Source organism: Homo sapiens, chromosome 22, assembly GCF_000001405.40.
Source record: "Homo sapiens chromosome 22, GRCh38.p14 Primary Assembly".
In the NCBI taxonomy this organism is placed as follows: Eukaryota; Metazoa; Chordata; class Mammalia; order Primates; family Hominidae; genus Homo; species Homo sapiens.
Window position 1 is genome coordinate 45,618,411 of NC_000022.11, and position 17,147 is coordinate 45,635,557.

Consider the following 17,147-nt stretch of genomic DNA (forward strand, 5'->3'; position numbering starts at 1 on the left):
GGAGACAGCACAACAGAACACATGAAATAACAGAAGCGGTTTATCACTCCCAGGTCCACAGAGAAGAGGGTCCTGCAAGGAACTGCGGGAAGTCTGGAGACGGCAGGGAGCTCAACCAGCAGGTGGTCGGGGGTGGAGAGGGAGAGAGAGAGAGACCTGCGGGACTAAAGCCTTAATTGGAATCCAGGTCGTTATCCAAGCAGGTTTTCCACAGGGTGTTCTAACTGGGAGATTTGGGGGATGCATGAGGGCCAAAGGTCACCGTGTGACTGAGAAAGGGTCACTGCTGCATAGACCAGCCCAGTCCCTGAGAGGGTGGGGTCTTTAAGGCAAGTCAAGTGGGTTGTATCCAACTATACCTTGGGAAGGGAGTCCCCGGGAGGCGATAATGTAAGGCAGACAATCTGGATTGACCATCTTGAAGAAATGGGAGGAGGTGAAGAACAGGAAATGATGTCAAGGATGACTAAGCCCTGTTTCTGGTATGAGAAAGCTAAACCTATATTCAAAATGAATGCTGAGACTGGGTGCAATGGCTCACACCTGTAATCCAATCCCAGCACTTTGGGAGGCCGAGGCAGGCGGATCGCTTGAGCCCAGGAGTTCAAGATCAGCCTGGGCAACATGGCAAAACTCCATCTCTACAAAAAATACAAAAATGAGCCAGGCGTGGTGGAGCGCATGTAGTCCTAGCTACCTAGGAGGCTGAGGCCGGAGGATCGCCTGAGCCCAGGAGGTTGAAACTGCAGTGATCGTGCCACTGCAGCTGGGGGACAGAGTGAGACCCTGTCTCAAAAAAAAAAAAAAAAAAAAAAAGAATGCTGAGGCCATTTACTATAATATTGAATCTATAGATGGATTTAGGAGATTGACATAACAACAGCATTGAGACTTCTAATCCATAAATGTAGTCTATCTCTCCATTTATCTAGGTATTTTTTGAGACAGACTTTTGCTCTGTCACACAGGCTGCAGTGCAGTGGCATGATCTTGGTTCACTGCAACCTCTGCCTCCCAGGCTCAAGCAATTCTTCTGCCTCAGCCCCCTGGGACTACAGGCACCCACCACCACGCCCAGCTAATTTTTGTATTTTTAGTAGAGACAGGATTTTACCATATTGGCCAGGCTGGTCTCAAACCCCTGACCTCATGATCCGCCCACCTTGGCTTTGAAAGTGCTGGGATTACAGGCATGAGCCACCATGCCCGGCTTTTTTTTTTTTTTTTTTTTAGAGACAGAGTCTTACTCTGTTGCCTAGGATGGAGTACAGGGGTGTGATCACGGCTCACTGTAATTTCAAACTCCTGAGCTTGGGCAATCATCCCAACTTAGCCTCCTGAGTAGCTATGAGTGTAGCTATGTACCACAATGTTTGGCTAGTTTTTTAGTTTTTTGTAGATTTGGACTCTCTCTATGTTGCCCAGGCTGGTCTCAAACTCCTGGCCTCAAGTGATCCTCCCACCTTGGCCTCTTAAAGCACTAGGATTACAGGTATGAGCCACTGCTCCTGACCTTATCTAGGTCTTCTTTAATCTCTCTTAGAAATGTTTTGTGGTTTTTAGTGGAGGTCTTACATATCTTTCAGAAGATTTATTGCTAGCTATTTATATTTTCTTGCTACTGTAAGTTGTCTTTGTTTTCTAGTTGTTTGTTGCTAGTATATAGAAATAAACTTAACTTTGTATGTTGACATTTTGTCTAGTGGCCTTGCTAAATTTATTAATTCTAATAGCTTGTAGATTTTTTTGGATTTCCTATTTATACAGTTTTGTCATCAGAAAGCAAAAACAGTTTTACCTTTCCAATCTTCATGCCTTTTTCTTTTTCTTGCCTTATTGCACGGGGCAGGACCTCCAGTACCAGGTTGAGCCAAAGTGGTGATCATGGCTGACAAGAAGAAAGTGCTCAATAGTTGCATTTATGTTAACAGTAGGGTTTTAAAAAATATATAGTCCTTATCAGATTAAAGAAGTTCCTTTAAAAATGTATTCTTAATTGTTGGAGAGTTTTTATCATGAATAAGTGTTGAATTTTATCAAATGTTTTTCTGCATCAAAGGGCATGATTGTGTGATATTTCTCCTTTATTCTGTTATTATGGAAAATTACATTGATTGATTTTTTTTCAAATGTTAAATCCACTTTGTATTTCTGGAATAAGTTCTACTTGGTCTTGAGGTATCATCTTTTTAATATATCTCTGGATTTGATTTACTAACATTTTACTTAGAATTTTTCATCTATATTCATGACAGATATAAGTCTGTGTATTAGTCCATTCTAACACTGCTATAAAGACACTACCTGAGACTGGGTAATTTATAAAGGAAAGAGGTTTAATTGACTTACAGTTCAGCATGGCTGAGGAGGCTTCAGGAAACTTAAAATCATGGCAGAAGGCAAAGGAGAAGCATGTACCTTCTTTACAAGGTGGCAGGAGAGAGAGCGAAGGGGGAAGTGCCAGACACTCATCAAACAACCAGATCTCATGAGAACTCGCTTACTATCACGAGAACTGCATGGGGGAAAACCCCCTCATTATCCAATCACCTCCCACCAGGTCCCTTCCTTGACACATGGAGATTACAATTTGGATTACAATTTGAGATGAGATTTGGATGGGGACACAGCCAAACCATATCAGTCTGTAAATATCTCTTATGTAAGATTTGTGCCTAGCTGTAATATCAGAATTTTTCTGGCCTCATAAAATGAGTTGGGGGGGGATGTTCCTTTTTTATTTCCTGTGTTCTGTTTCTGAGTTTGCATAAGATAAGTATTATTTCTTAAATGTTTGGAAAATTACCAGTGAAACCACCTGAGTCTGGAGTTTTCTTTGTGAGAAGGGTTTAAATTACAGATTTAATTGTTTTTAACAGTAGATGATTCTTTGGATTTTCTACTTAATCTTGTATCAGTTTTGCTAAATTGTAGGGGTTTTTTGTTTGTTTGTTTGTTTTGAGACGGAACTTTGCTCTTGTCGCCCAGGCTGGAGTGCAATGGCACGATCTTGGCTCACAACAACCTCCAACCTCCACCTCCCGGTTTCAAACGATTCTCTTGCCTCAGCTTCCTGGGTAGCTGGGATTACAGGCATGCGCCATCACACCTGGCTAATTTTGTATTTTTAGTCGAGACGGGGTTTCTCCATGTTGGTCAGGCTGGTCTCTAACTCCCGACTTCAGGTGATCCGCCCGTCTCGACCTCTCAAAGTGCTGGGATTACAGGCTTGAGCCATCATGCCCAGCCGCTAAATTGTAGTTTTTAAAGAATGTGTCCATTTCATCTAGGTTTTCACTTTTATTGGCACAAAATTGTTTGTAATATCCTCTTGTTACATTTACAATATCATTAGCCTCTACCACAGTGAGGGCCTCGTTTTATATCTGATATTAGAATTTTAAAAACGTGAGTTTTTCCTATTTTTTTCCCTCTTGGTCATTATTGATGGAATTGTCTATTTTATTGTATTTTATTTTTGAGACAAAAGTCTTGCTCTGTCACCCAGGCTGCCGTGCAGTGGTGTCGATAGCGGCTGCTGCCACCATGCCAGCTATAGCAGGGGGCACGGCTGGGGCTGCACACTCCATGGAGCCAGTGGAGGCCCTGCCCCTTCTGAGTTGGGACGGGAGCTCCCCAGGTGCTTCTGCAGCCACCCTCCCAGGTGCAGGACCTGGATGTCTCTGCAGCCTACACCCTCGAGGGCCCAGGAGAGGCCCTCACCCCATCCCTGCTGGCTCCAGAATGTCTGCTCTCACTGTCTGGCCTCTCTCTGCTCCAGTACCCGCTCTGATCTTGGAATGGGGTTGGGGCCAAGCCTTGGGACTATGAATGGCAGTGGGAGGCAGACAGATTAGTGGGTAGAAGCAGGTGGGTCCCCAGTAAGGCCCCACCCTCAGGCTGAGGAGAGCCCGAAGGCTGGAGGCCAGGCTGTCAGTCCCACAGACCAGAATGGGGACTTGGGTGCCTCTTCTGGGCCCATCCATGGCCATCCATTGACCAGTCGGCATGAACTTCCTCCCCTCTGAAGTCCATAAAAGCCCTGGGCTCTGCCAGAACAGGGTAGAGGATGGTCAGAGGACGAAGAGGGCAGAGAGACAACACGTTGGCCAGCTGCAGAGAAGAGCTACCCTTTGGAGATGATGGAACAACCAGCTCCAGAGAGGAACTACCCTCTCTGCTGAGAGCTACAGAGATGGCCTGCTGGCAGAGAGGAGCCAGCCTTTCCAGGGCCTCCTCTCTGCTGAGAGCTGCAGACATCAGGATGACCAGTTACAGAGAGGAGTACCCTCTCCAGGGCCTCCTCTCTGCTGCGAATGGAACACTCAATGACCTGCCTACAGAGAGGAGCTACCCACTGTGGGCCTGAGCTGTTATAACACTCAGTAAAGCTCATCTTTATCTTATTCATCCTTCATTTGTCTGTGTACCTCATTCTTTCTGGATGCAGGACAAGAGCTCAGGCAAAGGTGCCATGACCACAGAGGTTTCCGGCCAGAAAATTAACACCCCAAAGGTCCCATAACAGTGTGATCACTGCTCACTGCAGCCTCAACCTCCTGGGCTCAAGTTATCCTCCCATCTAAGCCTCCCAAGTTGCTGGGAATACAGGCATCCACCACCATGCCCAGCTATTTTTTTTAAAATTTTTGTAGAGTTGGAGTCTCATTATGTTGCCCAGGCTGATGTCAAACTCCTTGGGTCAAGTGATCCTCCTACCTTGGCCTCCCAGAGTGTTGGGATTACAGGCATGAGCCACTGCACCTGAGCCTGTCCATTTTACTAATCTTTTATTAATCTTTTCAAACACCTACCTGGGTTTTATTTTCTCTATTGCTCCCAATTAATTCATTAATTTCTACTCCTGTCTTGATTACATTCTTCCTTTCACTTTCTTTCTTTCTTTTTTTATTATACTCTAAGTTCTAGGGTACATGTGCACAATGTGCAGGTTCGATACATAGGTATACATGTGCCATGTTGGTTTGCTGCAACCATCAACTCATCATTTACATTAGGTATTTCTCCTAATGCTCTCCCCCACCAGCCCCCCACCCCCTGACAGGCCCCGGTGTTTGATGCTCCCCGCCCTGTGTCCAAGTGATCTCATTGTTCAATTCCCACCTATGAGTGAGAACATGCAGTGTTTGGTTTTCAGTCCTTGTGATAGTTTGCTGAGAATGATGGTTTCCAGCTTCATCCATGTCCCTGCAAAGGACATGAACTCATCCTTTTTTATGGCTGCATAGTATTCCATGGTGTATATGTGCCACATTTTCTTAATCCAGTCTATCATTGATGAACATTAGGGTTGGTTCCAAGTCTTTGTTACCTTTCACTTTCTTTAGGCTTAATTTACTCGGTTTTGGGGTTTTTGTTTTTTTAGTTTTAGGAGACAGAAACTTAGATCATTGATTTTCATCCTTCTTATTTCCTAATACATGCATTTTAAGCTAAAAGTCTCCACTTAAGCATTTTTTTAGCCACTTCCCACAAGTTTCAATGTTTATTTTCATCATCACTCAGTTCAAAGTATTTCCTAATTTCCACTGTGATTTCTTCTCTGACCCAGAGGTTATTGAGAAGTATGTTGCTTAATTTCCAAACACTTGGGGATTCTCCAATTATCTTTCTGTTATTAATTTCTTGTTTAATTGCACTGTGGTCAGAGAACACACTCTTATGTGATTTCAGCCCTTTGAAATCTGTTGAGACTTGCTCTAGGGCCCAGCATATGGTCTATTTTGGTAAATGTTCTGGTTCCATTGTTCCTCTCCCGCCCTGGCACCACTGATAGACGTTTTAGCATTGACTCGTTTATTTTTACCTTACGTAGCTAACATTTTTGTATATTCACCCAATATTTCCCCTTTTCTGTGTTTTTCATTCCTTCCTGCATTTTGATGCTTCCACTGGGGTCCCTTTCCTTCAGCCCAAAGAACTTGCTCTGGGGTTTCTTGGAGGTGGAGCTGCTGGTGATGAATTTTCTTAGCTTTTGTTTGGAGATATTTTTGTTTATGCTTCATTTCTGAAGACTATCTCCTCCAAAAGGTTGGCCAGTTTGTTTGGCTTTTTTCTTTCAGCAGTTTAAAGATGTCACTCTATCATCTTCTGGATTCCAAAAATGTGAAATGTTTCACCAATTTGCATGTCACTCTTGGGGGCCGTGCCGCCTTCCATGTGTCATTCCAATTTTAGGATACATGCTGCCCAAACAAGCATATAGCATCATTTCTAAAGCATTTACACATGTCCTTAAAAATACCTTTCTTTCCAGTTTCTCTGTTCGGTCCCTCCCCTTGATGAGGAGCAGAAGGGAGAGGCCACACACCCTGTGCTTGTTTTCTTGGTGTGGGTTTCCAAAAGGTCCTAAAAAAATAATACCCTCTTCCCTCACCCAGGTTCTGAGCAAGCTGAGAAGCACCGCAGGGAGAGGCAGGTGCAGCTCTGCCCCTTTCATCGTGGACACAGGGGCCCCAAGTTGAGAGTGGGAGTGGCATCTGGAACAAGGACAGCAGCTCCCATTTAATGAGAGCCTGCCCTGTGCCCGACACCACAATGGGCACATCCATTCTCCACTCCACCTTTTCTCACTCCACCCAGAGCCCTATCCTCTGAGGCAAGTGCTGCCAGCTCCACTGGACAGGCAGGGGACCGAAGTTCTAAGAATTAAGCAACATTCTCGTAGCAGCCAGGTCAGGATTCAAATCCAAGTCAGTCTCAATTGAGCAAGGTTTTTTTTGTTTTTGTTTTTGTTTTGTTTTGGGACAGAGTCTTACTCTCTCCCCTAGGCTGGAGCACAGTGGTGTGATCTTGGTTCACTGCAACCTCCACCTCCCAGGTTCAAGCGATTCTCCTGCTTCAGCCCCACCGGGTAGCTGGGATTGCAGGCACGCACCATCATGCCCAGCTAATTTTTGTATTTCTAGTAGAGACGGGGTTTCACCATGTTGGCCAGGCTGGTCTCAAACTCCTGACCTTGTGATCCACCCGCCTCAGACTCCCAAAGCGCTAGGATTACAAGCGTGAGCCACTGTGCCCAGCCTCGAGCAAAGTTTTAAAAGTGGAATGGGTTTCCCGTTCCCAACGTAGGCTCCCCACATGGCAGCTTTATTAAACGGAGTAGATTTTATCTTTATGTATATGAAATAATAGCATCAAGCCACTCTCCCCCTTGCTCACAATATTTTAGCTAAGTTGGCCCCTTTTCCATTTCTAAGACACTGCAAACTCTTTCCCACATTGGAGTCCTCTATGCTGTTCCTTCGGCTGAGATGCTTGTCCTTGCCCTCTTCACCGGCCAGGTCCCGCTCCTGCAAGTCTCAGTGTAAATGCTCCTGTTAAAGTTGTCCATCTTGACCCCTCCCCAATTTAAATCAGGTCCTCTTGATAACCTTTTATCATTCCTGCTCATTTGTTTTCTTTCTAGAACTTACCATACTTTATTTATTATTTTTCGAGATGGAGTTTTGCTCTTTTTGCCCAGGTGGAGAGCAATGACCTGCCCTCACCTCACCAAAACCTCTGCCTCCCGGGTTCGGGATTATCCTGCCGCAGGCTCCCAAGTAGCTGAGATTACAGGAGCCTGCCACCACGCCTGGCTAATTTTTTTGTATTTTTAGTAGAGACGGGGTTTCACCATGTTGGCCAGGCTGGTCTCGAACTCCTGACCTCAGGTGATCCGACTGCCTCAGCCTCCCAAAATGCTGAGATTACAGGCGCGAGCCACCGCGCCAGGCCTATGCTTTGTAATCACATAACGTGTCTTGTTATTTTTGTAACCTGTGTTGCCCTCCTTTACGAAGGCACAGGCACATCTGTTTAGTTCCTGGCCACGTGGGCACCTGGCGCTGAGTACTTACTTGTCCGTGCTGATTGATGTCCTCCCCCAGCCCCCATCTTCTTTTCAGAAGTTTCCTCTTTCTGCTCCGAGAGGGGCTGAGCCAGCCGTGGCTCCCTTCCATCCCGATTCCAGTGGAGACAAGCCGGGGAAGTTTCTGGGAGCTGCGCGGGTGAGCAGAGCTGAGACCCGGCATGGCTGTACTGGCCGGGTCACTGCAGGGTGACTGGCGGCTCGGCTTGATAACACGTTTACCTGAGTCATCTTTGGCAAAGGTTACCAGGCTCCAGGATGGAACACGCATGGGGGAAATGCCTCTTCCGTGACACGCCCACCTCGCTCTAAAGTGAGACGAGGGAGGGAGGGCGCGGCTGCCAGGTAATGAAGTCTAGAGTTTACTAGAGTTGAGGGATTGATGTGTTGCGTATGGGCTGGGTCTCATTTCCAGGAAGCTCAGGACAAAACCCTGTTCATGTTAGAGGGCTTTGGCCAAATTCTGTCCTGTGTGTTTGGGTGAAGTCCTGTCTTCACAAGTGGTTTTAGTTCCTTCAGAGTAAGAATTATTTGTATTTTATTTATTTATATTATTTATTTATTTATTCATTTGAGATGGAGTCTCACTCTGTCTACCAGGCTGGAGTACAGTGGTGCAATCTCGGCTCACTGCGAACTCCACCTCCCGGGTTCAACTGATTCTCCTAGCTCAGCCTCCCAAGTAGCTGAGATCACAGGCATGTGCCACCACATCCAGCTAATTTTTGTATTTTTAGTAGAGACAGGGTTTTGCCGTGTTGGCCAGGCTGGTCTCGAACACCTGACCTCAGGTGATCTGCCCGCCTTGGCCTACCAAAGTGCTGGGATTACAGGCGTGAGCCACCGCGCCCGGCCTGTTTTTTAAAATTTCTATTTGACAGATGAGGAAATGGAGGCCCAGGCCTCGCTGCACTAAGAAGAGGGCTCTGGATCCTGACCCAGGTCTGGGTGAAGCTCAGGCCTCTTGACTTAGGGTGGAGGTATAAACAGGGTAAACAGGTAAAAACAAGCGAAACAAACAAAAAAAAAGCATAATCACTAATGCCATTGAAAAGAATTACTTAAGACTTTGAGGCCAGGTGCGGTGGCTCACGCCTGTAATCTCAGCACTTTGGGAGGCCGAGGCAGGCGGATCATGAGGTCAGGAGATCGAGACCATCCTGGCTAACACATTGAAACCCTGTCTCTACTAAAAACACACAAAAAATTAGCTGGTGTGGTGGCACACGCCTGTAGTCCCAGCTACTTGGGAGGCTGAAGCAGGAGGATCACTTGAACCCAGGAGGTGGAGGTTACAGTGAGCCGAGATTGTGCCACTGCACTCCAGCCTGGGCGAGAGAGCAAGAGTCCATCTCAAAAAAAAGAAAAAAAAAGATTTTGAAATGTAAAGCTGTAAAATCCTGTACCCTTCTCTACAGCCCCAGGCTTGCTGACAGGCAGAGGTCAAGGCCACGTCTGTGCTGTGTTTTTCCACTTCTGTGAGCTCCCCTGCCACGGCTCACTTATCTGCAGCTCACGGGCCACGTGGATTTCAACGCAAGGGGGTGGCACCGGTCTTTGCTTATGCTGGGTGGGTGTCACTCTGGAATTCCTTTCCTGGGACTGCATAAAACAAACAAACCCCCAAACCTCTAATGAAATGGGGTATAACAAATCAGTGAAGGTTCTGCAGAGAGGCGGATGATCGCGTCTGTAAAATATTTCCAGAAACCCTGGCAGTTCCTGATGCACGTGATGGGAACACTGCCTCGGTGGGTGACCGTCCCTTTGCCGCCTCACCAGAATGAACCTCCGAGTGCCCCAGGAGCCACTCGAGGACGATGAGAAGGTAAACTGACTCACTTCAGCGAAACAGATTTGTGGCAATCATGTTGCGGCAGTAATTACAGTTTATGGCAGGAGATACACACTTAGCAAAAATAAATACAAATAGCACGACTCATGTGGTGGCAGCCTTCACTCTGGGGCTGGCTTTTGTTTGTTTGTTTATTTGTTTTTGTTTTTTTTTTTTGACAGAGTCTTTCTCTGTCGCCCAGACTGGTCTCGGCTCACTGCAACCTCCACCTCCCGGGCTCAAGTGATTCTCCTCCTGCCTCAGCCTCTTCAGTAGCTGGGATTACAGGCATGCGCCACCACGCCCGGTTAATTTTTGTATTTTTAGTAGAGTTGGGGGTTTCACCGTGTTGGTCAGGCTGGTCTTGAACTCCTGACCTCGTGATCCACCTGCCTCAGGCTCCCAAAGTGCTGGGATTACAGGCATGAGCCACCACGCCAGGCCTTTTCTTTTTTCTTTTTTTTTTTTCTTTTGTGATGCTAGTATAGCTGTTAGAGGCACATTGAATAAAATTCACAACATCTCTTTAGGGAGAGGCAGCACGTGTCCTTTGCAAATAGCTCCAAGTCGGTAACCTATCAAAGCAGGGAGGAGATAAACCTGAGCTCAGGCAGCCACTGGCTTGATAGCCACGTGGGTTTGGACAGGTCACTTTAACTCTCTGAGTCTATTTCCTGGTAGATAAAGTGGAACTAATAATGCCTGCCTCACACCATGGTTATTATGTGAATTAGAGAAACCATGTGACAGTCCCCAGCCTGGCACGGGGTAGGGGCTTTGAAAATGCAAGCTGGGGCTGGGCGCGCTGGCTCACACCTGTAATCCCAGCACTTTGGGAGGCCGAGGCAGGTGGATCACTTGAGGTCAGGAGTTTGAGACCAGCCTTGCCAACATGGTGAAACCCCGTCTCTACCAAAAATACAAAAATTAGCCGGGCGTGGTGGCACGCGCTTGGAGGCTGAGGCAGGAGAATCACTTGAACCCAGGAGGTGGAGGTTGCAGTGAGCCAAGATCATGCCACTGCACTCCAGCCTGGACGACAGAGCAAGACTGTAAAAAAAAGAAAGAAAGGAAGGAAGGAAGGAAGAGAGGTAGGAAATGCAAGCCAGCTATCTCTGTGTGCAATCACAACCATTGCTATAATTTACTGTGCTCTCTCCATTTTAACTATTGGTGTGGGTCTGCACCATAATTTCTACTGAGAACCTCCTAGATTCTGGGCAAGAGGCAAGCAAATGACATCTTAGGGAGGTTAAGGGACTTGACCAAGGTCACAAAGCTGGTAAGAAGCTGAGCTGGAATTAAAAGAGTTTCTTTTTCTCCCTCGGTTCCTCCCTTGCTCTGTCCTTTCCTCACTCCCTCCCTTCCCTCTTCCCTCCCTTCCTTCCTTGTTTAAATACCCCTCCCAAAGTGTTCATGACGTCAGCTTTTTGAAGGGCCACCTTTCAAGGTAGCAGTTGTCAAGTAAACCATTATTGTAAGGGCTGTCCTCTCTGCCCGCCCTCTGCTGTCCCCGCCCCCTCCCTGCCACCTCCTGCCATCACCCTCTCTCTCCCCAGAAGTCAGGGGCCATGCAGATATTCTGGGGAAGCCCCCGAGGCCACTGTCAGGCAGCCTACACTAGCTCGGCTAGCCAGGAAATGTGACCTCACAGCAGCAGTCCCCTTGTGAATTATCTCCTTCCCCGACCATGCACTGTTAATCTCACCGCCTATCCACACCACCTCTGAAGGGTCTGCGGGGAAAATTGAGCCATGTGGGCTACTTAGTAGCTACAGGGAGAAGCGCGGCCCTGAGCAGCTGGAGGATTATGTATGGGCTTGTTGACTTTGCTTTGTCCTTGCCCTTGCTCGCCGGTTGTCCCCATTAAGCTGTGAACTAGGCGGTAGGATGTGAACGTGGTGAGGGCCTCACATCCCTCCATTGGCTCATCCAGCAGCGTGTGTCAGCAGCCAAGCAAGGGCTCTCATGAGCCATAGTTTAATGGATACACCTGAGGTTCCCATTTTAAAAATGTTTTCAGCTGGGTGCAGTGGCTCACACCTGTCATCCTAGCACTTTGGGAGGCCGAAGCAGGCGGAGCAGTTGAGGTCAGGAGTTAGAAACCAGCCTGGCCAACATGGTGAAACCCTGTCTCTACTAAGAATACAAAAAAATTAGCCAGGCATGGTGGCGGGAGCCTGTAATCCCAGCTACTTGGGAGGCTGAGGGAGGAGAATTGCTTGAACCCGGGAGGTGGAGGTTGCACTGAGCTGAGATCATGCCATTGTGCTCCAGCCTGGGCGACAGAGCAAGACTCCATCTCAAAAATAAATAAATTGATTAATTACATTAAATAAAAATGTTTTCGAGAGAGGAAGCAGGGGGATGAAGTGGGAGAACGCGCTGGCGGTCGCCAGGGAAATGGTGCTGGCGGCTGGAAGAAGAGAGGCAAGGGGGAGAAGTGAGCTGAGCCACCACCCAAGGCAGGTGCAATCAACAAAGCGGGCCATCCAACAAGTGCGGATTGTGAGTATCAGGACCCGAGACTCCCATGTGGGCCGGGTGGAGTGCCGGACAGGTGACTGCTATAACCACGACTGGGAATTAAGAGAGGCGCACACATCATCTCTTTCAGTGTCACAAGAACCCCAGAGGTGGCCCAGCTGAGGGGGGCAGTATTGATAAGAATGGGGTTTGGCTGGGTGCGGTAGCTCACGCCTGTAATCCTGGCACTTTGGGAGGCCGAGGCAGGTGGATCAGTTGAAGTCAGGAGTTAGAAACCAGCCTGACCAACATGGAGAAACCCCGTCTCTACTAAAAATACAAAGAATCAGCCAGGCATGGTGGTGCATGCCTGTAATCCCAGCTATTCAGGAGGCTGAGGCAGGAGAATCACTTGAACCCGGGAGGTGGAATTTGCAGTGAGCCAAGATCATGCCATTGCACTCCAGCCTAGGCAACAAGAGCGAAACTCTGTCTCAAGAAAAAAAAAAAAGAGAGAGAGATAATGGGGTTCACCGTGTCAGAGGAGGGATGCACAAGCCCGAGTCGACCAGGAGAATCCAAGTGAGTCTGGGGGTTGCAAAGATCACCAGGACCCCGAGAGAAGCCGACAAAATGAGCAGAGGAAACTGCAGATTGTTTACCCTCTGGGGGTGCCGAGGGATGCTGTGGTCTCCCAGACAGCCAAGGAAGGAGGGAGCCCGCCCTGCTCTCAGTTGCCCTGGCAACGCAGCCAGCCTTGGTTCAGGGAATTAGAATGAAAAAGCTGCATGCAAATGAGGTAAATTGCAATTAGGGGGGAAGAGCAAACACTTGGCCTGTTCTTGAGGCCGCACTAGGGAGGTGTCCAGGAGGTATTTGTGCAGCAAAGAATGAGGCCGCAAAAAGAAGAACTCACATTGCATAAAAGCCTACACCAGGCCCAGGGTGCCCAGGGGTCCCTTGGGTCCTGGTGGATCCCCCGCTTAATGTTGGTGGTGGTCAGATGTCTGGTGAACGTCAGGAGTCCCACGGCTGCCCCTGACCAGTATAATGCCTGCTGCAGAGACCAGAGGGAGCAGGATCAGCTGTCAGCACTACCAGAATTATCTCCTTCTTACAGATGAGAAAGCAGAGGCTTGGAAAGAGTGCACAACTCACCCAAGCTCACACAGCTGGTGATAAATTCAAAAGTCAGATTCCAGACCCCTCAACCATTCACTCACTAAGAACCCCAGGGGACTGGGCATCTGCCCTCATACCAAAAACAAACAATTCTCTAAAGATGAACCCCCCATATTCTGACAAGTATTCTGCTACCCACCTCGTTGCTCCAAACTGAAACCCACCAATGCAGCCCTGCCCACCTGTATCGTTAATGACTTTATAAAACATGAGGGAGGGCCAGGGACCATGACGCACGCCTGTAAACCCAGCACTTTGGGAGGCTAAGGCAGGAGGATCAATGGAGAACAGCCTGGGCAACACAGCGAGACCCCATCTCTATAAATAAACAAAGTAAACATAAAATAAAATGTGAGGGACAACCAAGGAGCATTGGACTTTGAGGAATGCCTCTGACATTCAAGGTGAAAGTAAAGAGCTGGGCGCAGCGGCTCACACCTGTAATCCCAGCACTTTGGGAGGCTGAGGTGGGGAGACTGCTTGAGCCCTAGAGTTCAAGATCAGCCTGGGCAACATGGTGAAACCCTGTCTCTTCAAAAAACAAAAAAGTTAGCCGGACGTCGTGGCATGTGCCAGTAGTCTCAGCTGCTTGGGAGGCTGAGGTAGGAGGATCACTTGAGCCTGGGAGGTCGAGGCTGTGGTGAGCTGTGATTGTACCACCGCACTCCAACCTGGGCAAAAGAGTGAGACCCACACACAAAAAACAGAATAAACAAACAGAAAAAAAAATTCCCTAAAGTAACAGAGAATTAAGGAAATGCATGAGAACTTCAAAAACAACCACCACAAAGACCTCTAATCAGGATCCTTAGAAAGACTGGAGAAGATGCTGTATTCGTAAACCAAGAACTGACTACTCTGAGAAAGGAACGTTCTGAAAACAGGAGAGAGATCCTGTCTCCAGTGATCGGCAGAGCAAGAAATAAAGGAATACGTATATTGCCAAAAGAGAAGGAGGCACAACAAGAGGACAAGAAAAGGTGTGGGGAGACGGAAACTCCCAGCAGAGGAAGGCGCAGGAGCCGGGATTTTTGGGCAGTGCATGCGGTCCCTGGTGATTGAGCGGCCAGTCCTGCAGCAGCGGCTCACCTGCCCCACCCCCATGCCACCCCTGCCGGAGGAGTGCCCAATCTGTCCTTTCCCCATGGGTCAAGAGGCAAGTTGTCTATTGTTCCTCTGGCTAACCCTACCTTGAAAGTGATTCCTTATCCCCCAGAGCAGGCAATGGAAAAAGAGAAGTATTGTGCTCTGGTCCGAAGCCTGCATTCCCTTCTGTGGGGGCGGGGGAGACAGGGTTGGGGGGGTGCCAGTGTTTATTTTCCTAACCGACAGATAGCCCGGGATTATGACCTAACTTCAAACCACCCAAGCAAGAATGTGCTTCTATTGTTTTGTCTTCAGAAGCCACCTTAGTGTGTAGTGCAGGGTCGACCCTGGAAAATAGAAATCATGGAAACTAAGACGTGATGAGGGACTGGGCTGATAAATAGCTCGGAGCCGGGCAGGAGCCAGCTAATCACTGCTGCAGAGAAGCAACAGCTCTGATTCCCCTAAGTTAACCCAAGCTGGAGGAATGCTGACAGTACGATCTGCCTGGCCTGGGACGGGGATACCAGGTCACTGGGATGAAGACAGGCAGGGCTGGGCAGTCAAAATCCTACAACACAGATAGCCCCCAAGTGCAGAGAACTCTAGAGGCCACGCCTGCAGATACAAACAGGATGGAGCCACACTGGTGGACCAAGATGCTGTCCTGTGACCCTGAGACCCTGAAGCCGGAAGGATTGTCTTAGATTCCCAAAGGGCAGCTGCTTCTCAAAGGGTTACTACTGTCATCCGCCCTTGGTCAAGGGCATCCTTAGTGAGGGTGGGAATTTTAAGAAGCAGTCACATTTTGTGTATTTGTGTTTGTCTTTCTCATCCTTATGTCACAGAGCATCCACTGAGCTGAAAGTGAAAAAACAATCGTGTATGCTTTGAAGTCACAGAGACTTGGGTAAAATTCCTGCTTCTGCCACATACTGGCTGTGTGATCCGGGATCAATCCCTGAGGCTTGCTGAGCTCCAGTTTCCTTGTCTGCAAATGGGAGAAGTTACTTTTTTTTTTTTAGACAGAATCTCGCTCTGTCGCCCAGGCTGGAGTGCAGTGGTGCTATCTCCGCTCACTGCAACCTCCGCCTCCCGGGTTCAAGCCTCCCGAGTCGCTGGGACTACAGTCGTGTGCCACCATGCCCAGCTAATTTTTGTATGTTTAGTGGAGATGGGGTTTTGTCATGTTGGTCAGGCTGGTCTCAAACTCCTGACCTCAGGTGATCTACCCGCCTCAGCCTCCCAAAGTGCTGGGATTACAGGCGTGAGCCACCACACCTGGCCGGGAAGTAATTTTTACACTGAGGTGAGGCTCAAGCAAGTCTCCCCTCCTCAAGGGAAGGCTCTGTTCTTGATGGGTCCCTGTTCTTATACCCTTAATGCCTAACGGAAGCACTCCTTCAAGACACAGTTTAATCTTCCTAACTTGGTGGACCAAGATGCTGTCCTGTGACCCTGACACCCTGAAGCCGGAAGGATTGTCTTAGATTCCCAAAGGGCAGCTGCTTCTCAAAGGGTTACTACTGTCATCCGCCCTTGGTCAAGGGCATCCTTAGTGAGGGTGGGAATTTGAAGAAGCAGTCACATTTTGTGTATTTGTGTTTGTATTTCTCATCCTTATGTCACAGAGCATCCTTGTGTGGTGCCAACACCCTTGTGTGGTGGGTATCATGGGCGATACCACTGCCAGGTGCTTTAAAGGCAGCAGCTCGTTCGATACTGACACAGCCCTCTCAGCTAGGATTTCTTTGCATCATCTCCTTTTGCTGATGGGGAAACTGAGGCTCAGAGAGGTTGTGTAATGGAGCCAAGGTCACATGTCAGCAACAGCAGCAGAAATTGCTGGCAGAGAACTATGTTCAGACTCCCTTCCCTTCACCTCTGTGCTCTAGGGCCTCAGAATATGTTTTTTTGTTTGTTTGTTTTTGTTTTTTTGAGACAGGGTCTCGCTCTGTCACCCAAGCTGGAGTGCAGTGGTGCAATCTTGGCTCATTGCAGCATCCAAGTCCTAGACTCAAGTGATCCTCTACCTCAGCCTCCTGAGCAGCTGGGACTACAGATGCACACCACCATACCTGGCTAATTTTTGTATTTTTTTTGTAGAGACAGGGTCCTGCTAGATTGCACAGGCTGGTCTCTAACTTCTGGCCTCAAGTGATATTCCCACCTTGGCATCCCAAAGTACTGGGAAGAATACTTTTGAAAATGAATCTTCTGCCGGGTGTTGTGGCTCACGCCAATAATCCCAGCACTTTGGGAGGCTGAGGCAGGAGGATCACTTGAGGCCAGGAGTTAGAGGCCAGCCTGGCCAACATGGTGAAACCCCATCTCTACTAAAAATACAAACGTTAGCCGGGTGTCGTGGCTCACACCTGTAGTCCCAGCTACTTGGGAGCCTGAGGCAGGAGAATTGCTTGAGCCTGGGAGGCGGAGGTTGAGGTGAACAGAGATCGTGCCATTGCACTCCAGCATGGACAACAAGAGCAAAACTCCATTTCAAAAAAAAACAAAAAAACAACGAAGTCCACTTAAAGTATTAGTAACTGGATTATTAAGAAAAAAAGAGAAGGAAAGAAAGAGAGAAAGCCACAGGTAAATAAATGACTTTGGAACTCATCCTGGGGGATAGGGGCTCAGCAAAGATCTCCAAGCCAGGCTCCCATTGTGCTCACAAGAAAACTCTGTAGTTAGGTCTCCAGTAGG

General features: G+C 48.1%; 1 pseudogene, besides 2 other annotated features; it reads right to left on the reverse strand.

Moving 5' to 3' along the window:
• On the reverse strand, nucleotides 6,121-6,222 carry RNU6-1161P (RNA, U6 small nuclear 1161, pseudogene; annotated as a pseudogene).
• Nucleotides 7,406-8,605: an enhancer, noted in NCBI's record as "P300/CBP strongly-dependent group 1 enhancer chr22:46021696-46022895 (GRCh37/hg19 assembly coordinates)". NCBI's record gives its function as "activates an origin of replication core promoter dependent on BRD2, BRD4, P300/CBP, MED14 and CDK7 cofactors, with strong dependence on P300/CBP, by STARR-seq in HCT116 cells {active_cell/tissue: HCT116}" and the evidence as "EXISTENCE:reporter gene assay evidence [ECO:0000049][PMID:35650434]".
• Nucleotides 9,179-9,473: an enhancer, noted in NCBI's record as "tiled region #3085; HepG2 Activating DNase matched - State 8:EnhW". NCBI's record gives its function as "activates a minimal TATA promoter and a strong SV40 promoter by Sharpr-MPRA in HepG2 cells {active_cell/tissue: HepG2}" and the evidence as "EXISTENCE:reporter gene assay evidence [ECO:0000049][PMID:27701403]".